We start from the raw sequence: 21,213 nt of genomic DNA, 5'->3' as shown, positions 1-21,213 counted from the left end.
GAGTCTTATAAGGATGTTCTCTTCTTGTAGCTTTTTGCCTGATTATCATTAACAGATTATAATCATGTGTTTTTTTCATGTCCATCTTCCCCAACGGACTGTAGATGACCTGGGCCAGTTCACCCCTCCTTAGACAACCTGGTGGTCCCCTGCTCCCGGGAGGTCACCATATTGATGCCGAACTTAGTGTGGACACCCGATCGGCATAGCGCACTACAGCCCAGAACTCCTGGACTCCAGCGATCCTCCAGCCTCAGCCTCCCAAGTAGCTGGGACTACAGGCACGTGCCACCGCGCCCGGCATTTTGTTCACTGACGTGCATTTTGTTCACTGCTGTGCCCATTTTCTCACAGTGCCTAGCCCAAATATTTCATGACTGTTTACTAAAGGTGTATTTCTGATTCTATGTAAGTGAACAGAGATGTGATGAGAGGATAAAGGGGAAATGCACCCCCTCAAAAAGCTTATTACTTCACAAGGTATCCCATGTTGAGATAAACGCAGAGTAAACCTCATGCCTAAATATGTCCTGTTTCCTCAAAGAGGCCTGCCTAGTACCAGGGTGCCTTGTGAAAGGTTCAGATAAGCAATTTAATGCAAATCATAAAATGCAAACCCACTTCTTTCTGGGATGGTAATGTTGTAGCACCCTAAAAGAGAGAGCGTTTGAATTATTTTGGAGAATATTCTGCTTCAAGGACCTAGAGTCATAACTCACACAAAAAAGTCAAGATTTAAATATAAAACAGGGGCTCAAGAGTGAGCCATGTTGAGATTGTATATCAGTTTTCTCTTGCCCTGATTTGAAAATCTTTCACTGTTTAAATCTGTTGATTTCTAAATTGTAACTATAATGCCGGGACAGGAGATGGGACCCCTAGTTTTTATTTAGCACTTGACTGAAATGTAACATGACTTCAAGATTCTTTTATATTAAAAAAAAAGTCAGCTATTGTTCATCTCCAGTGAAATGAATAAAACTTAGATGACAGGGACTTAAAGGTAGACAAAAAGATGTAGGACAGAGCCAAGGAATTTAAACAATTTTCAGAGTTCAGGGAAAATGATAAAATCTCTTAATCTAGAGATATTTAAGAAGAAGGCAGGGATCTTTTCTCTAAAATTGGGGGAGCAAAGGGTACTTCTTCGTGAACAACGGTATCCATCTAGTCTTTTTTGTACTACAATAAGAATAGCAAGACCGTGCTTCAGGAAAGCTGTCCAGTGTAAACAGGCCCCGCCTTGGAGTTCATTGAGGACAGGTCTCTTTCTACAGAGGAGACCCAAGTGAAACTCTCTTGCTCTGGTGTTCTAGAAACTCAGTGGTGAAGGCTGATCTGTGATTCTTCCCCAGATTCCTCGAATTCATGGGGGTTAAGGCCTAAGATTTAACATGCTCTTAACCTTGTTAACAAAGGTGCCTTCGTATTGAGGAGACATTAAAACTTAGCCACATAAATATATCTTGTCTCCTCCAGTGTTAAAAAAACAAAAAACAAAACTACTATAAGCTGGGTGGAATCATGGTAAACAAAGCATTTTCCATTGCTTCAAGCACAGCAAATAGAATCTCTACCGATAGTGCTTCTCCTTAGTTTCACCAGGGACATTAGATTCATAGTGGTTCATTTCAAAACCATGCTTCCTCTTTCAGAGACTGTTTTGTCACCTGCAGGCTGAAGCGTTCTCCTTAGCTGAAGATGCAAGCTTGCCCTACAGAATGTTTGGTAATCAGGGTGGGAAGGGAGGGAAACATTTGCACGTGGCATTCCCTGAAATAGGGTTGTAATAGCTACTTGAGAGGAGAAAACCTAGGTTTTTCTTGAGATTCCCAGGGCAGAGACAGCAGTGATGAGGTGTCACATTATAAACAGCCAGGCTTTCCCACTTGGCCCTAGCTTTGGAAGCATTTTTTTTTCATCTCAGTTGGAATAAGGATATTCAGGGCCAGAGTCAGAGAAATGCAGCTACAAAGGACAAGGATGGGGGTAGGGATGAGAAGAGGCTGAACAGCTGTGGGCAGTGTCTCTGAAGATGAAGAGGCCTCCCAACCTGTTCAGGGCCTGGAGCTGAGGACAGGAAACGAAACAGTTGGTTTCAATGAAGAGCCCCTGGAGGAGAGAGATCCCAGACTGGCTGATGGATCCACTCTTGCCCTGCCTCCCTGTGGGATTCAGGAGGGTGAGCTGAGGATCCTGTCTGCGTGAGCACTGCTCCTGGTACCCTGCACACCTCCACCTTTGCCATTCTCACGTAGAATCATGGAGGTGTGCCAGCTGAGGATCTGAGAGTTTCAGTCACTTCCCCAAGGGCACATAGCGAGTAGGTGGACTCCAGAATCTTCCGCAGATTGTACTGTTCCTTCTGTGAATAGTGTTTATCTTTGTTCCTCCCTTTCCCATGAGTTTTGGATAGAGACTATCACCCATATTGAGGAGGATTTGGGTATTTGATTTACCGACACATGCATGTTGTGACCCCACAGAACCTTCTGGTGGGTGCCTGGAGTTACGAAGAGAGGAGCTGCCATTTTCTTTGCCCCGAGGAGCTGGCTCGGTGACCTCCTTCAGTCATGGAAAGTCCCTTCCCCAGATAGAGTCCAGCATTCCACTGGCTTCTCCTGCTGCTAAAATAAAACCGGGCGAATCCCTCAGTAAACCGTGGAGCATAAAGAGGTGGGGCTGCTTCTCCAGCATTTGTCAGGGGTGTGAAGAGGTCATTTTTTATGTGCACAGCTTTGCTTCTCTGGCTGCTACACCTCTGTCCTGCTCCAGCTGAACTGCTCTTATTACTTCTGTGCTTACTTTGCCAAGAGCCTCTTCACAGTGACTGCTTTTCTCCGGTTACGCTCCTGTTGAACCCGGCTTTCTCAGTCACTCTTCCTTTCCCTTTTAAAGAGTGAAGTCCATGAACCCAGGCAAGAGTTAGCATAGACACTGTCCTACAGAAATGGCTCGTTAAGCTCTTTAAGCTCTCTGTGCTCCCCTCTGCCCCAGCCCTTGTGTAAATCCTACAGATGCAGCTGAATGACTTTATGTCCTCCAACCGTGAGACTGGCGCTGTGGAAAGAATTAGCAACATGTACATTTAGAACTGATATTTGTAAAAACAAGCTTGGTCTGGATTTTCGGTACTGTTGCAGGAACAAAACTGACCACAGTGTGTGCGTTTGTAGCACAAGACAGACGTGATCAGAAAACAGTGAAGGCTTCAGCAGCACAGTCCACCCTTTCCTCCAGGGCCCTTTCCCCATTTCCGCTCACATCTTCCCAAACAAGCTACCAAACAGGTTATGCATCTGAAAATTTATTCGCTTCAGCCACAGGGCGACTTGAATGGACTTTGTTGTTCACATTTCCTCCCTTGGTCTTCTGTGGATTAGAAACCATAGTGCGTTAAGATAAAGAAATTAGGTCAAACTAGCCATAGTGAAACAGGTTCAAATTTTTATTTTTTTTTATTTTTTAAGAGATGGGGTCTCACTCTGTCATCCAGGCTGGAGTGCAGGGGCACAATCATAGTTCACTGCGGCGTCAATCTCCTGGGCTCAAGTGATCCTCCTGCCTCAGCCTCCCAAAGTGTTGGGATTACAGGCGTGAGCCACTGTGCCCTGCCAAAAAGTTTTTTACATGTTGGATTAACACAACCATTTAATTGGTGGCCTTCATATGGTCAATGGAAGCCAACACTGCTTAAAGAATAAGGAATAACAGAAGGCTAAGTACACATTTGGGGACTTTAAAAAAATCACAAAATATTTCATTGAAAGCAACTTTGTGTTTTTAAAATCAGGAAAAGCTTGCTGTTCAAACTTCTAAAATGGGTTTTTGAACACAATGCAAATAGTTTAGAGAAAGAATAATAATTTAAAAAAATGCCTGATCCATTTCTCTAACGAATGATCAGGAAAGCAGAGGCAAGAGGTGACTTTAATTTCACAAGCAAATACATACGCATGTGCACATTTATACGTCTATTTTCTGATTACGTCATACTCCAGGCAACAAGGGGGCCTGGTCAATGTAGAACTTCTCAGACACAGAGCTGCCAGACAGTGTGAGAGTGGAACCCAGATGCTGAGCTTGCCAACACCTTACTGGGGAGAGAATGTCAGGTGCAACCGAGAGACAACATTAGATTAGCTGTGCACTTTGCAAGAAGAGGGGAAGAGGACAATACGTTCATCCTGAGAGCTGCTTCTGAGAACCTCAGGGAAGAAGTCTAGAACCCTGATCTACATAAAGTGACAGATGACGGACTCGCTGTGGAGGACTCCTGAAGTAGTGTCCCTGATTAGAATGCTGATTTCTTCCCCAAAGGTGATGTGGGCACAGAACTGAGCTGTGTGAATGGGAGGCCAAATAAGCTCTGCTGAATTTGCTCTGGCAGCCCAAGTCCTTAAGGTGAGGCCTGTCTGGCTGCTGCTGCTGTTACCAGTCTTTTAGTATGGTTAGTCATTTCTCTTGTTCCTGCTGCTGTTAAAAGAGCTTTTCCTGTTTTTCCTTCTGCCTTGAAGCTGGCCAGACATCTGTGGAGTGACAGGGCCTTTCCAAGAAGGCAGAGTCAGAGTGATGAGGTCCACACAGGTCAGTGAGATGAAGACACGAAGGAATATGTAAGCACCCAGGACTCGGTCCCAGTGACAGTTACTTGTTAAGAGGAATGTGTGACAAACCCCACTCCTGAGCCCTTCTGATGGCATCAGAAACCTGGGGGAAATATACAGAGTTTCTTCTGGGAGGTGACTAGCTGGTGCCATTAAAACATCTATCCCAGTAGGGCAGGGCCTGGGGTCACCTCCCCGCCATATTCTAAAGAATCACATCCTCTTGCTGGAGCAGCAGGTGTTGCAGAGGTGTGAAGGGGGCCAACACAGTTTCTGGGCAGGAAGTCCAAGCTGCTGGCCTTTCTGGGCAGGGTGACAACTGGAGGGAAGTGTGCAGCAGCATTCTGCCATTGCTGGCAAGTCTCCGTGAGGGTGGGAGGGACCCCAAGATGGTGAGTTGACTTGGATGCAGTGCCTATCCCTGTTGCACTCCCAAAGCTGCAGATGGAAGGAGCAAGTGTTTCTCAGCTCCTCAGGTTTGCGTCTGTCCTCAAAACATGGCTCCCCTTCTGCCTCCTTTCTTGCAGGTTTAAATCTCCCGCAGCCCCTCTCCTTCCTGTGTGAATGCAGAGTTGGCTCTACAGAGGGTGAGTGGAGCATCTGGCAGTGGTTACTTTGCTGTGGTCACTGTAATTTTTGTGAAACAGCACCAAGATTGATCGCTCCCTCCCCTCTCTTAATGTTGGAGGTTCAGAAGACAGGGATCTGGTCTCTCCGAACCACATCAAGGTCATCATCCAAAGTTAACAAAACCTGAAGTGAGAGGGACAGAGAAATGAAAGGAATGGACAGTCACTGTCACACTAAGTCCTGTTTTCTCTCTGAGATGCACACAGACTGGAAACTGTTAGTTCCCTCTCATTCTCATGCCTTCTGCAGCTCTCTGCAATCCTTTGCTCTTAATAGGCACTTATTATAATTATACAATTCATTTGTCAATTAAATATTCATGAAGGTTTATGATGTGCTATTCCAGATGCTATGGAGATATAGTTGGTAATGAAAGAGACAAAAATCCCTATTCTCCATGTAGCTTACATTCTAAAGAGGGCTTTAGACGTGAAACAAATACATGAGTAAAATATAGCATGTTAGATAGTAATAAGTGCTAAGGATAGAAGTTAAATAAGGGAGGAAATACAGGAAGTATCAGGTGTGGGGAGGTAAAAAATTTTGATAGGGTGGCCTGGGAAGTCATTACTTAGGGGACATTTAGGTCAAGAGTCAAAGGAATAAAGTCCTGTTGGATAGAGTATTGCTATATAAGAAATGTACCCTCCTCCTCCATTTCTAGTTCATTTGACTACTACTGCCCCACGTGGAATCTTTAGTTCCACTTTTGCTGTCTCTGTCTCTCTCATGAAGGTGACGATCAAAAGTAAAAGACGTAAGGACTGTTTATACAGATTGGCCAAGCTTCCCAAACTGGCCACTAGAGGATAGCCCTGCTCCACTCTTGAAGTCATATGGCCTGCCTGAGCCCGCTTTGCGTGGAGCCCGGGCATCTAGTAGGTCTGGAGCCCGGGAGTCTAGTAGGGTTGTTAATTGTCAATTGAACCTGCCTACAGGCACCATGGACTTTTAATTGGGAAAAATCAAAGTTAGGATTAAAGGATGGAACTATAATCCAGGGTTGATATAAATACTCATGGCTTCTGAGAAAGGGTTGGGGCAAAAAAATAGAGAAACTACAGGAGAGATTTGGGACAGACTGGTCAGAAGGCAACAGACACGTGGCTGCTACCCCAAGCCACTTAAGGAATATGTAAAATATTTGTGAAATATTCAGGGAGACTGGAGGAGGAGGAGGAGGAGGAGGAATGTGAGTATGGCATAAGAAGGAATAACCCAATGTTATCGGAATTGCTAAAAGTGGTTCCTGGGGGAATTCTGGGCATGTGGGTCTAATAACCAATTCAGAACAAACGTGCTGTGCAACTTAGGGAAAGTAATTTTGTCCCTCTGTGTCTAAAGATATTGAAGAGTAAAAGAAAAACTAAAGATCTAACCAAAGGATATAAAATTTATGAAAGAAATAAGATGGTCTGTACATTGAATTACAAGGAGGAAATGGAAAGTAAAATTAGAGAGGAATATAAAAAAAAGTAAGGAAGAGCAGAAGAAAAAGAGAGTACAAGATGTAAAGAGAGAAGAAAGTCACAAAAAGATAGATATGAACTCACCAAGAATGAGAAAAACAGAGCAGTAGCAGAGAGGAAGTGCCAGATGTCATGGTCATCGAAGAAATCCAGCAGAATGCACTCGCGGTTCTTCTCCCGGGATTCGGCCGGAGTTCCCTGGAGGAAGGTGAGGCAGGACATGGGCAAGATTCCCACAGTTCAACTGTTCAAAGAGTTGAACGTCCAGAAAGCCACAAAAACGCTACTAGATGTCTGGTTCGAAAAGTTAGCTTCCAAGAAAACATCCATCCACACAAAAACCTGTACACAAAGACCTCAAAAGCACAGGCAACCAAAGCAAAAATAGAGAAGCGAGATTACATCAAGCTACGAAGCTTCTGCACAGCAAAGGAAATGACGAACAAAGTGAAGAGACAACCCACAGAATGGGAGAAAATATTTGCAAACTATCCATCTGACAAGAAATTAATAACCAGAATATATAAGGAGCTGAAAGAACTGTAAGGGAAAAAAAATCCAATTTAAAAATGGGCAAAAGATCTGAATAGACATTTCTCAAAAGAAGACATACAAATGGCAAACAGGCATATGAAAAGGTGCTCAACATCATTGATCATCAGAGAATGCAAATCAAAACTACAATGAGATATCATCTTACCCCTGTTAAAAAGGCTCGTATCAAAAAGACAGGCAATAACAGATGCTGGCGAGGATGTGGAGGAAAGGGAACTCTCACACACTGTTGGTGGGAATGTAAATTAGTACAGCCACTGTGGAGAACAGTTTGGAAGTTCCTCAAAAAACTAAAAATAGAGCTATGGCCGGGTGTGGTGGCTCACACCTGTAATCCCAGGACCATGGGAGGCAGAGGCAGGTGGATCGCCTAAGGTCAGGAGTTTGAGACCAGCCTGGCCAACATGGTGAAACCCCGTCTCTACTAAAAATACAAAAAAATTAGCTGGGCACGGTGGTGGGCGCCTGTAGTCCCAGCTACTCAGGAGGGTGAGGCAGGAGAATCACTTGAACCTGGGAGGTGGAGGTTGCAGTGAGCCGAGATTGCGCCATTGCACTCCAGCCTGGGAGACAGAGGGAGACCCCGTCCCCCCGCCCCCCCAAAAAAAAGAAAGAAAGAAAAAAATAGAGCTACCATATGATCCAGCAATTCTACTACTTGATATATATCCAAAAGAAAAGAAATCAGTATGTCAAAGAGTTATCTGCACTCCCATGTTTATTACAGCACTGTTCACAATAGGCAAAATATGGAATCGATCTAAGTGCCCATCAACAGAGGTATGGACAAAGACAATATGATACACATATCTACATAGACAATGTACATACACCTACAAACACAATAAAATACTATTCAGCCATAAAAAAGAATAAAATCCTGCCATTTGCAGCAACACGTATGGAACTCGAGGCCATTATGTTAAGTGAAATAAGTGAAGCACAAAATGACAAATATTGCATGTTCTCACTCATATGAGGCAGCTAGAAAAGTGGATCCCGTGAAGACAGAGAATAGTTTGGTGGTTACCAGAGTCCAGGAAGGGTGGGGGGAGAGGGAGATGAGGGGAAAAACCAAAGAATATACATGTATTTATGACCACTGAACTGCACATTTTAAAATGGTAACGATGGTAAATTTTATATGTATATTTTACCTCAAGGAAAAAACTTGTACACAAATATTCACAGCAGCATCACTCATAATGACACAAAAATAGAAACAATCCAACTGTCCATCAACTGATGAGCAGGTAGATAAAATGTGATATATCAGTACAACGGAATATTTTTCAGCAATGAATAGACATGAAGTACTATGTATGTTACAGCATGCTTGAACCTAGGACACATTAAGTGAAAGAAGCCAGACACAAAGGCCGTGTATTGTGTGATTCCATTTACATGAAATGTCCAGAATAAGCAAATATACAGAGACAAAAGGTAGATTTAGTAGTTGCTTAGGGGTAAGGGGTTAGCGAGAAATGAGGAGTGAATGCTGATGCATATGAGGTTTCTTTCCGGAGTGACAGAAATGTTCTAAAATCTATTGTGGTAACTGTTCTGATGGAATGCTAAGACTTCTTCCTGTTCTGTGCCTCAGATATACCACTAATTTCCTAGGCTTCGGCTCTGTTATCTATGGACTGGATGTAATGACACTCAGCTTGGGTATTTGTTGATGGATGGAGATTATGAGAAAGATGAGAAGATGAACTACTCAAGGCTTTTGACCGCGTTAAGCATCCACTGGGACCAGCGTCGTAATACAACATGCAATGAAGACCAAGTTTGCAATGTCTGTAGTACTTACAGATTTATAAAGTGCCACCCTGAGAATGATAACGCATGCAGTTATTGTGCATTTGTGTGCGGCTATTAAAAACCATCCCTGGTAGAGAAAACTTTCATTTTAGACACTGTGAAAACACATTAAGAGAGGGAGGTAGAAAGGCCAAAATGGCAAGTTGGAGAGAGAGGTTGTTTTTGGATAAGAAAACTGGCCTCTTACCTCCCAGCTGCTGAGATTCTGGAAGAAAAAATATAGGGCGGCAGCCCACATCACAGCGGTGGCCACGATGCAGAAGAGCGGGACTGGGAGGACCTTTTCAGAGCTGCGGAGCTGTGGGAGGAGAAGCAGATGCGGCCTCACGCGACCCCGCCTTCGCCTGCCCGAGGGCCCGAGGTAGCCGCTCCCGGCACCCGCTCTTACCTTCATGATGATGTAAAAGGCCAGGTACAGCAAAAGGTTACAGATGAAGATGCCCAGCATGTAGGAAGCAAAGTCCCTGGGGCGGTATATCAATCCAAAGAGGGCGCTGCAGGCGTGGGAGAAATGTGGGCAGCCGTGAAGGTGGATTTGTAACACTATTGGCTTTTCCAATCCCCCAGTCCCTTGAGGGGGAAGGGGCAGGTTCTTTTTTTTTTTTTAACTTTTATTTTTAGTTCATTTTATTTTTTTTTAAACTCTTACCTCTGATGGAACAGTAGATTTTTAAAAAAATACTTTAACATATAAGTATCTTTTTTTTTTTTTTTTTTTTTTTTTTTTTAAGAGTTGGGGTCTCATTCCCTCACTCAGGCTAGAGTGCAATGGCACCATCACGGCTCACTGCAACCTCCACATCCTGGACTCAAGCGATCCTTCCACTTCAACCTCTCTGGTATCCGGGACTACAGATGCATGCCACCACTTCCAGCTAACTTTTAAAATTTTTTTTGTAGAGGCAGGGTCTTGCTATGTTGCCCAGCCTGATGTTGGATTCATGGCCTCAAGCCATCCTTTTGCCTGAGCCTCCCAAAGCCCTGGGATTACAGCCGTGAGCCATGGTGCCTTGCCTATATAAGTAACTTTTAATTTAATACACTTTCTTCCAAGCATTCATTTCTAACAACCATGTAAAGTTCCCATAACTGAATGCAATGTAAACAATCATCTTTCCCCTTTTGTTGAAGTGTCTTCCCACATTCTTCGGTTTTTCACTATTATAAGAAACACTGCAATGAATAAATAAATACTTTCAGACATTGAGCTTATGTTTTTCATTTAAGATTAGTTCCTTAGAATAGAAGCAAAATCATCTCCATGATTGGCTTGACACACATTACCAAATTTTTGCTAGCTGTCCATGGTTTTAAAATTAATGCTAAAGTTAATTTTGGTTGGACTCAGCTTTAATTTTGTTCCAAATTTCTATTCAGTTATAATATGTCCTTTATTACATAATTCTTTCTTATCTCTTTGTTTTGAAATAGTTTTTTTTTTTTTTTTTTTTTTTTTTGAGATGGAGTCTCACTGTGTTGCCCAGGCTGGAGTGCAGTGGCACCATCTCGGCTCACTGCAACCTCCACCCCTCCAAGTTTAAGCAATTCTCTGCCACAGCCTCTGGAGTAGCTGGGATTACAGACGCATGCCACCACGCCCAGCTAATTTTTTGTATTTTTAGTAGAGACGGGGTTTCACCATCTTGGCCAGGCTGGTCTTGAACTCCTGATCTCGTGATCCACCTGCCTCGGCCTCCCAAAGTGCTGGGATTACAGGCGTGAGCCACCGCGCCCGGCCTGAAATAGTTTTTGATGAATACACATCCACATATATATTTTTTAAAATCTCAATATCTCTATCTAGTTGGGTTTCTGTCCTCCATTCGGATTCACTGATTCATATTTCTAATTTCTAATTTTAGATCGGTGCCTCACTATTTTATTATTATTTTATAATATGCTAGATTATCTGATTAGGCTAGCCTGCACTGTTCCATTTGGTAGCCACATATGGCTATTAAAATTAAATAAAATTGAAAATCTACTTCCTCAGTCACACTAGCCACATTTCAAGTCTGCAATATCTATGTGCTAATAGTTACTGTATTGGACCGTACGTGTGAAACAATTACATCACTCCAGAGAGTTCTAATGGACAATGCTGGGCTAGTCACCTCTGCTCCTCCTTGCTTCTGTTAATCTCTTTTTCAAAGATCTTTGAAATTTTTGCCTAACTAGCAAATAAATTTTAGAATAAAACCTTATTAACTTAATTACTATTCTAACTCTAAATGTTTACATTACCTTGAGAAAGGATACCTTTGCAGTAGTTAATCTTTCCATCCAGGACCTGACGTCTCTCTTCATTTAGCTAAATTTTCCTTATGGCTTCTAATAAGATAATTACATTTTCTACAGAAAGATTGTGTACATCTCTCAAAATTTATTCCTAAGTATTTAAAGTGTAAAGTACTATTAATGGACTCTCTTTGTTCATTTTGAATTCCAACTGACTTCGTTCTTTTTTTTTTTCTTTTTTTTTGAGAGAGGGTCTCACCATGTTGCCCAGACTGGTCTCAAACTCCTGGGCTCAAGCAATCCTCCTGCCTCGGCCTCCCAAAGTGTTGTGATTCTAAGTGTGAGCCACTGCACCTGGCCTCCCTCAAGTGACTTTGTTCTGTATAATGCAGAAAATTTTCTTCTCCCAGATTTTGAAATCTTTAGTATACCAGGCAACTCTTGTACATCCTTCCTTCAGATTCTCTAGTTATTAGCGTTTTGTTACATTTGCTTTGTCATTTTCTCTCTGTCTCTCTCTCTATATGCATATGTATGTACATACATCTCTATGCCTATATATAACTCAGGACCATACGAAAGTAATTCTTTTTAAAATATCATTCATGGGAAATCATTCCATGTCTTTATGAAGCAACTGGGAAGGAGGTAGCCCACTATCAGATAATCACGGTGTAAGTCTGTCATTGCACCTCCATCCCTAGAGGCCCTTTTGTTCCACAGAGCTGTCTGTGAAGAGAGGCCATTTGCCTTGTCTTGTGAGCAGATCGTGGATGTGGTTTTGCTTATGTGAGAGACGGAGACAAGCCAAGTGATTCTGAGCCCCTGGAATCATAGTCAAAGGTTGGTCATTATCAAGAGGTTGGTCCCTTTTCTCCTCCCATTGCCCTCTCTTTCAGGACCACCAGGACTGTGGAGTCTGCTAGAAGGGTGGTCAAGAAGAGACCACTGCCCAAGAATCCTCTCATCTTGACCTGCCCCCAAGTAAAGGAGGAATCGTTAAATGGTATACATCTTATCCTGAGGCAATCCCTGGGGTGACAACATGGGAAGCTTCTTCCAGAAGCACATGCCCCCCAGATAGGACTCAGATTCTCATGACTTGATTCTGGCCTCCTCTGAAGGCATGCCTCTTCATTCCTTACTGTTCACTGGGATTACAGAATCATTTTTTTTTTTTTAATCACAGGCCACTGACCCTGAGGAGCTCATCATCTAGGAGCTACAAATAAAAGCAGTTAAACTTACTTATGGTTTGAGTGATCAATAAAATATTTTACTCATTCAACTGTATAAGAGGATAGATTGCATAAAATAATGGTGGCTAGCAAAAATACACATCTGTTGTACTGTTCTATTTTGAGCCATTTGAGGAACAAAGGCCATGGGGAAAGAGGAAGAAGAATGATGTAGGTAGAAAGAAAGAGACTGGAGGGAAAGAAATAAAAGAGGGACTTGCACACACACACACACACACACACACACACACATTTAGTAAAAGAAAAATTTCTACAGAAAAGAAGGCCTACTGGGTAGTCTTTATGAAAATTCTGTGAAAGAGTTTAAAGCTATGTTGGATGTTTGCAATCAGTGGTATAATTATCTATCTATCTATCTATCTATCTATTTATCTATCATCTATCTATCTATCTATCTAACCATTCAACTATCCATCCATCTGTCCATCCCATCTTTCTATCCAATGTATCCACATAGACTTAACAAGTTTTGATGTTTGTCTTGTTGAACAAATGAACTCAATGCATCAGTGTTTTAAGAGAGGCTACAATTGCTACACGAGAATGTCCTACTACCTTTTTTTGAGTCTCTAGAACAAGCAGTCCTACCTTCTCCTTAATTTCAGATTTCTTTGTAAAAATGACAGTCAAGGAAAGCTAAACCACAGTGTTACTGACATTAATAAAGGCAAAAACATGTTTTCATAAGACTACTTACAAGGACCAGTTAACCAGATTCCCCACAACCAGCAACACCATTCTATCCTGGAAAAGAGGAAAGAAAACATCAAATGAGAGGCTGCACAGCCTACTTTTCTTTTAACCTACTGTGTAGAAGTATCAACTATGGGAAAACAATTGCATTGGTGAAAATAATTTTCTGTGGTTCTAAGAGTGCCTTGCCTATGATCTGACACTAATCGTATACAAAGACTAAATGGCAAGGCTTTTAACTGCAAATAGACCTGACTTCATCCCTGAGAAAGAAAATGTGGTGAGCAAAGCAGGACTCTATTTCTTCCCAGTGTTTAGTGGAGCTGGGCCCATGGGCCCATTTCTCAGTGGAGAGGCTGGTGGTATGTGTTGATTACAGAATTGAGAGAATTCTGTCACTGGTACTATGTAATTGAGCACTGTTTTTCTGGGGTGTACTACTTGGTAGCCACTATTGCAACTCTCAGGCCCCAGCTGTAGGGAGTTAATTTTGTACCCATTACTCTGGTTTCAAGGTGGTCCTGAAACTCACAGGTTCCTGTGTCTACAATATAGACTCTTGTAGGGGAGAAAATAGGGAGAAAAGGTCAATTTTAAAGGACAATAGGCCGGGTGTGGTGGCTCACGCCTATAATCCCAGCAATTTGGGAGGCTAAGGCGGGCAGATTACCTGAGGTCAGGAGTTTGAAACCAGCCTGGCTGACATGGTGAAAGCCTGTCTCTACTAAAAATACAAAAATTGGCCAGGTGTGGTGGCACACAACTGTAGTCCTAGCTTCTTGAGAGGCTGAGGCCCGAGAAGATTTTGAACCTGGGAGGCAGAGGTTGCAGTGAGCCGAGATTTTGCCACTGCACTCCAGCCTGGGTGATAGAGCAAGACTCTGTCCCAAAATAAATAAACAAACAAACAAATAAATGACAATTACTCTGACAGAGATTTATTCACAATCTGTCCCTGTTCTTTGCATACTACTTAAAACTTCTAGGAGAGATTTGATCATACTTTAATTTGCATAACCACTTATCTACTATTTAAAAGTAGTAATTCTTTGTCTTTTAGGTGATCCATCCAATTTGGAGGAAATAACTTCATTAAAAAAATTAATTCACCTATTAGAATGGCTAAAATCCTCAAACAGTGACAACACCAAATGCTGGCGAGGATGTGGAGCAACAGTAACACTCATTGCTGGTGGGAATGCAAAACGGTACAGCCACTTGGAAGACAGTTTCGCGTTTCTTACAAAACTAAACTTATGATTGCCATGTAATCCAGCAATAGCTCCCTTTGATATTTAACAAAAGGAGTTGAAAACTTACGTCCACACAAAAACTTACACATGAGTGTTATAGCAGCTTATTCATAATTACCCACACTTGGAAGCAATCAAAATGCCCTTTAGTGGGTGAATAAATAAACGTGGCACATCCCACATCCGGGCAATGGAATATTATTCAGTGCTAAATACAAATGAGCTATCAAGCCATGAAAAGACATGGAGGAAACTTAAATGCTTATTACTAAGTGGAAGAAGGCAGTATGAAATGGCTATATACTGTATGATTCCAATTACATTTTGGAAAAAGAAAAACTCTGCCAATAGAAAAAAGATTAGTGGTTGTGAGGACTTAAGAGGGAGGGAGGGATGAATAGGCCGAGCCCAGAGGATTTTTAGGGCAGTGGAACTGTCTTGTATGATACTATAATGGTAGGTACATGTCAACATGCTTGTTAAAACCCATGAGTGTACATCAAGAATGAGCATTAATGTAACGTAAACTTTACATGGGTAGTAATGATGTGTCAGTGTAGGCTCATCAACTGTAACCAATGTACCACTGTGGTTTGGAAATGTCAATAGTGGGGGAGGCTGTGCATGTGGGGAGTTGGGGGCAGAGGGTATATGGGAAATTTCTGTACTTCTGCTCAATTTTTCTGTGGATGTAAAGCTGCTCTAAAAAAATATAAAGTCTATTAAAAAAGGAAGCCTCTATCAATTAATGTAAAAAACGAAAACATTACTTGCCTCTCCTGTTTCACAGGTAAGCAGGAGAACTTGCCTCTCAAAATACTCACAAGTCCTGATGGACTTTTTCATTCTTACCTGAATAAACCCTCCAGACTCAATTCCCTTGTTTTTAGTGCTTATAGCTCCTGCCCAAGCTCTAGAGTGCTCACGGATTTCCATATTCCTTTAGCAAAAATATTCTGATGATAAAGGATTAGCAGGTACTTGCTAAATCCCTGTGTGACAGGCAATACTAGCATCACTAGTTCTGACTGCAGCACTTTGTAAAGCCTGGGGCAGTGGGCTCAGAGGAGGAAGGTAGCCTTCTCAAGATCACTGACCAGAGAGCCAAGAGAGAGCTGGGACCAGGGCCCTGAGCTCTGGGCTCACTATAGAAATATATAATACACTGAAGTATGTTTTAACCATCAAGCAATAAGCACAAGTTATAAAAAATTCTTGCTCATTGTGAAAATCAAGCAATACAGAAATGCATAATGTGGAAGTGTAAGTTCGTAATGGACATGACTGGAGTGAACACGGGTCCCAGTTTTCTCGAGATAGTCCTGGTTTACACCTGCTGTCCTGGTGGAATTATTAGCAGTGTGCCCTTTCACTTCCACAAGGGTACCTCTTTGGATGATTATTTATAAGGGTACACTGTCTTGATCCTCCCCATAGCTATGATCACTGTTCATTTATTTTTATTTTATTTTTAAAAAATTTCATTATTGGGCAGGGCACGGTGGCTCACGTCTGTAATCCCAGCACTTTGGGAGGCCAAGGTGGGCGGATCACCTGAGGTTGGGAGTTCAAGACCAGCCTGACCAACATGGAGAAGCCCCGTCTCTACTAAAAATACAAAATTAGCCAGGTGTGGTGGCACATGCCCGTAATCCCAGCTACTCAGGAGGCTGAGGCAGGAGAATTGCTTGAACCCAGGAGGTGGAGGTTGCGGTGAGCCAAGATCGCGCCACTGCACTCCAGCCTGGGCCAAGAGCAAAACTCCGTCTCAAAAAAAAAAAAAATTCTTTATTATTTTTTATTTCCAAATTTTATTTTAAGCTCAGGGTTACATGGGCAGGATGTGCAGGTTTGTTCCATGGGTAAACGTGTGCCATGGTGGTTTTGCTACACAGATCATCCCATCACCCAGGTATGAAGCCCAGCATTCATTAGCTATTCTTCCTGATCTTCTCCCTCCTCCCATGCTATCCCCTCGCCCCACCCTCTAACAGGCCCCAGTGTGTGTTATTCCCCACCATGTGTCCGTAATCATCACTGTTTAACAGTTGGGTAGATGTATTTTCTCCTTTTTTAATATACTAGCAAATATTTTGTTTATAAAAATGGGACCATGTTAGCTTGACTTGTATGAAAAAGAATAAGCACCATGCTCCTTCTCCCACTAATGGGCCTTTAGCCACCCTGGGCCATCTGGCCTTCTTGATTTTAGGAGCCGTGAGTGACTGCCCCAAGCCTGTTCCTCCTACTATTCCCCTGCTTTCTGGGACAGGGCCAAAGAACACAGGAACATGCACATACCATATATAGAGGTCGGCTACACTGCTGGATACAGTCTGTGTAGAACACCATGGCAGCCCGCCGGAAAATTCCCAAATCTGCTGATAATACAAATGCATGGTGAGAAGGCTTAGTCAACAAAAATACAAATACTCTGAAGTGGCCCAAGGTTTTGGAGCCAGAATGATGTCATCCTCACTTCATTAAAATGCATTAGAATGCTTTGCACCTAATAGGTGCGCAATAAGTATTTGCTTTGAAAAATGGTATCGTCATAGAGGGATGCCATATCTGTGCATTACACAGCAGAAAGGCAAGGAAGATGGACATGAACAACAAGCACTCACAAATAACATGGGTGGCTGGTGGACCCTTATTCTGTCTCCTGCAGCTAAGCTTCTTTTTGTTTACAGTTTACTCTAGTGGTGTTTTCTTTATAGTAGAGATGTTATGGGTCCCCTCAATCTACTTTAAAACACATGCTCTCTCTAGAGGATGGGAAATCTTAGCTTGTAAAGATTCAGATCTGTTATTTCTCAATGCGGTTATAAGTTAGTAACAATTGAACTAAAGGACCCTAGGCTCTACTGAGCATGTTCAGAAAATCTATCTGAACTGAAACAATCATCAAGTGAAGGTAAGTTAAGATGGGGAGAAAAAGACAGGAAAGTTTTTTTAAGCACAGTTGAAAAGGATGATATGAAATGCAGCGAGTGTGTGTGTTATAATGTTACATGAACAGTCAGGGTCAAAGACGGGCTGTGTTTCTGTGAGCTGTCCACACCACAGATATCGAATGCCAGTCTGGGTCTGCCCAAAGCAAACATTTTCCAGAATGTGGATCTCAGCTCTGTTATGAATCCTTCTCCTCCTCAAGGTTACCCCCGTGGTCAGTTTAACCAGGAGGGAGAAACCTGTCTCTGTGGCATCCCAGAAAAGGCATGGAGCAGGCTAGGGTGGAGTGCAGCCTCCCCTCTGAGCCTCTCTCTGGCTCCCCACTCCCACGGAGTCTGCCCGGCCTGAAAGAGGCTGTTCAGGGAGCAGGGCTGCCAGGACAGCCAGGTGGATCACTTTGATACAAAAACAATCTAGACCCCTGGAAAGGGTGGCTGAACATTACCTGTGTCAGACACATCTGAATCAGTAGGAAGCAGAGAAGAAAGGAGAAAAAAAAGAGAGACGTGTAAGAAAGTAGCCAAACATGTAAACTACTGGTCATTTTATTTTTTCTCAAGATGGATGACTTTAATTTTGCTTTCTGATTATAAAAGTAATGCTTACTTGTCAAAGAGAACATAGGATCTTTCTGCTTGTCTCAAACATTCAGAAGTCTTCAAATCCTCAAAGAGTGAATTGAGACTTTTCTCTCTCTCTGTCTACTTTTGTGCACTGCTTGCAATTTATAATCCAGCCTCTCTCATGAGAAATCCCTGAGGTCCTTTTCCAGAGCTCTGGGACTGGGGGACACAGTAGTGATTTGGGGAAGCAGCTCTGCGGTTTATGAGAGCTAATGATGAAATGTTTTTCCTCATTGCTGCTGCCTTTCCTGTGTCCACATTTATTTGCTTGTGTAGCCCGAGGGGCCACAGAGAAAGGACATGTGATTAGAAAGCAAAGGCAACTTATGACATGGGTAGAAAGGCTGGAGTCAGCTGAACACTGTCCATGAATCCAACTTCCTGGCTTTGGACTAAATTTAGACACAATCATTGTCAACGACGAAATAGAAAGTTTTCTTTTGACTCTGGTACATCTGTAACCACCTGGGGAAGACTCCATGGGTACGGAAATGGAAAATATTCAGTTAAACTACAGGCTGGCTAGTTCCCATTTGCCCTACTAGGCCCACTTGCCATGAATCTCTCTCCTGGGGACCCACCACACTGGGGAGGCGGGCCTGTGTGGATGATATCAGTGGATTCCCTGACTTTCCTTGGACAATGGGGAATTCCGGCAGGAGACTGCAGGGACAAAGGAAGGAGAGTGAGCTCAGAGGACTTATTTTGCCGGCGTCCTCCCTGTGAGGTTACCGCAGGCTGGTCAGAACGTCCATGAAAGGTCACTGTTCCTTTCAGAGTGACTTTTCCCTGTAACTCTCTCCTTCTAGATTTTGGGAACCATGTCTTCCCTGTCCTTTTGGGCTTATAGATGTAAAAGCTTCACTGCTGCTAACCCCAAGTTTCCACGGTATCCCTTTCATTCCCCTCTACCCCATCCACATCTTGTGAATAGTACTTCTGTTAATAAATCCTTCTCTATCTTTGTGTGTGACATCTTTTTCCTGTTGGGACCCTAACAAATTATTCCATGGTCATAATATGATATGCTAAATTTCACTTCTTTTAAAAGATAAGATAATTTGGCATTGCAAAATTGCATAAGGCAAAGGTGGTATAAATATATTAAAGCTCCTCTATGTATTAGTGGTTACTACCATTGCATATATCTGCACTCAAGTTTATTTTTCCAACTCTGGAAGAAACCAGAACAACAATGCTCCCAATTATTTTCCTTTTGAAAGTTTAGTTTGTATGACTTCACTTACCTTCTGTCTGGTGGAGGATCATGACCAGCGTGCCCTGCCAAATGTTCTACACAACTGGCTCAAGTAACTGGGGGATTTGGAGGTATGCTGGCTATGTTCATGCCAAAGGTAAATCTACTGACCATGGCAAAAGAATTAACCTTTGAAAACGAGCAATTGCTCTATTTGGTCTTCTAGTCTTAAAGCCATTTGTTTATGTAGAATTGCTCTTAGACCTGGACAAGAGGGTCCCATATTTTAGAGGCCTTATTCCCTCATGAGTGAGGAGTCTGCAGGGCCAAAGGACTCCTCCTTTCCTTCTAGAAATTCTGAATTCCAGGGAGCCAGAAGTGTCTACCTGCCCAGAAGGCTCCGAGCCTGCTCTAAGGCCTGCATAGCCCCCTTCCCTTGTGTATCCTCCTGAGGGCAGATGGTACCACTAGGGCATACCTCTAGGGGCAGGGAATGGCCAAGTGGTGGCTATTTGTGGGGGAAGTGGATGAACATTGGATGTAGGGCAAAGGTGCCACATGCACACTTGTGAGACTCCTTAAGACACAACCAGAGGTAGAAAAAAGTGTTCTTTGAGAAACCAAGAATTTTAAATTTGAACCTAGGCCTTCTAATTTAGTTGCAATGGAGGTATATTTTTCCCTCCCTCCCTTCTTCCCTCCTTTCATGTATTTAATAGCTTTTTAGTCTGCTTTATGACTTTGATGTTCTTACACATAAGCTATGCAGGCTTTTATTTGGACTTTTGCTCTGGGCTTTGTTAATATCAGAAGTTTGCCTATGTTTATATATAATAATTTGCCTTGAAATAGACAAAAGGATATTTAAGTCTGACTTCCTGGAACTTAAAATGATTTTTTAAAATTTAAATGCTCTAAAACCACTTGAATCTGTTCCCATATATGATGACTGATCAACAGCAGATCACAAGCTGATTTCTGTAGAACATTCAATGCTCTCTGATAAGTTGGAGGGAGCTCAGCAGGTGTCCTGCCTCTAAGATTGGCAAGTTGGTCTCAAAAGTTCCAGCCCTAGAATCTGAAAATATATAATTCATTCTTGACAACCATTTAGCATGGTTAGAGAAATGCTCCCTTTGAATGCTGCAAACTGAAAAATGTTCCTCTAGGTGGAACTAGTGGTATGATCATACCATTCTCTAATACAAGTCAAAGTTTGGCAGACTGTAAAGTGTTTGCAACCAGGGGTTGGAGGTACAACTCATCTCTGAGGTGTGGCAAACCTTAGTTTCTCAGCTGAAAATAGAACTAGGGGTAATAGCTTATCACTATCCTATAAGGGAGAGGAAGCTCTTGGAGCGAATATGTGCTATTAAACATGGCATAGAATTCAGAGCATGTGTTCACGGTGACCAGTGACACTTTCATTCAGCATAAGTAAAGGCAGTGTCTGCTTTTTCATTAAAGTTGATTCGTGTGATTAGTATAGAATTAACAGGTGACTCACCTATCTTGAAACGACCCATATAATATATCTGGGTGCTGAGGGCTAGCGAGGCCAGAACGTGGATTGCAGAGAAGATGACCCAGAACCATACGTCATTTTTTCCAAACACCTAGGAGTAAAGATGGAAGTTACCTTCATCTGAGGTTTTCCCTAGAAAACTCATCAAAATCATCCTCTCTCCTGTATGTGTAAGGAGTCAAAAACAGCTGTGTGCACATTCTATTTTTCTCCCCCTCTGGAAACTCCCATGGATCTTACTCCCAAGGGACAGGAAAAAAAAAAAAGGCTACTGGGCCAAATGAAAATGGAAAAAGGAAATAGGAGAGGCAGCCAAATAGCAATGGTGAAGGGGCAACGGGTCTAAAGTGGGGGCGAATGAACTTCAAATAACCAAAACAGGCA

At 42.6% G+C, this 21,213-nt stretch overlaps 1 protein-coding gene, 1 long non-coding RNA gene and 1 pseudogene across 32 annotated transcripts in view, besides 1 other annotated feature; 1 reads left to right on the top strand and 2 right to left on the bottom strand.

Annotated features, from left to right (window-relative positions):
- Positions 1–21,213, bottom strand: part of SIDT1 (SID1 transmembrane family member 1) — a 104,557-nt gene that overhangs the window by 4,106 nt on the left and 79,238 nt on the right. For 15 of the 31 annotated variants that reach the window (NR_136280.2, NR_136282.2, NR_136283.2 and 12 more), the window contains 8 exons: positions 20,812–20,920; positions 17,929–17,943; positions 16,830–16,906; positions 13,280–13,326; positions 9,474–9,579; positions 9,273–9,383; positions 6,791–6,904; positions 3,431–5,360 (listed from right to left, as the gene is read on the bottom strand). Coding sequence is in view for 25 of the 31 variants with exons in the window: in NM_001308350.2 (NP_001295279.1) it covers positions 5,298–5,360; positions 6,791–6,904; positions 9,273–9,383; positions 9,474–9,579; positions 13,280–13,326; positions 16,830–16,906; positions 17,929–17,943; positions 20,812–20,920 (642 nt within the window). In the remaining 6 variants the exon portion in view is untranslated. Of the gene's footprint in view, positions 1–3,430; positions 5,361–6,790; positions 6,905–9,272; positions 9,384–9,473; positions 9,580–13,279; positions 13,327–16,829; positions 16,910–17,928; positions 17,944–20,811; positions 20,921–21,213 lie in introns of those variants that run through there. The other 16 variants (NM_001322299.2, NM_017699.3, XM_047448378.1 and 13 more) reach the window with 7 other exon arrangements.
- RN7SL767P (RNA, 7SL, cytoplasmic 767, pseudogene) lies at positions 107–302 on the bottom strand (annotated as a pseudogene).
- Positions 5,953–6,052: a silencer, noted in NCBI's record as "silent region_14607". NCBI's record gives its function as "represses an Ori minimal core promoter by ATAC-STARR-seq in GM12878 lymphoblastoid cells {active_cell/tissue: GM12878}" and the evidence as "EXISTENCE:reporter gene assay evidence [ECO:0000049][PMID:35858748]".
- On the top strand, positions 9,573–15,262 carry LOC124909410 (uncharacterized). The gene is made up of 2 exons (XR_007096007.1): positions 9,573–12,329; positions 14,336–15,262. It is a non-coding gene; the product is annotated as an uncharacterized LOC124909410 (long non-coding RNA).

This window comes from Homo sapiens, chromosome 3 (assembly GCF_000001405.40).
Source record: "Homo sapiens chromosome 3, GRCh38.p14 Primary Assembly".
NCBI classification, from domain to species: Eukaryota; Metazoa; Chordata; class Mammalia; order Primates; family Hominidae; genus Homo; species Homo sapiens.
Note: the sequence above shows the minus strand (reverse complement) of the source record. Positions and strands in the feature narration are given on the sequence as shown.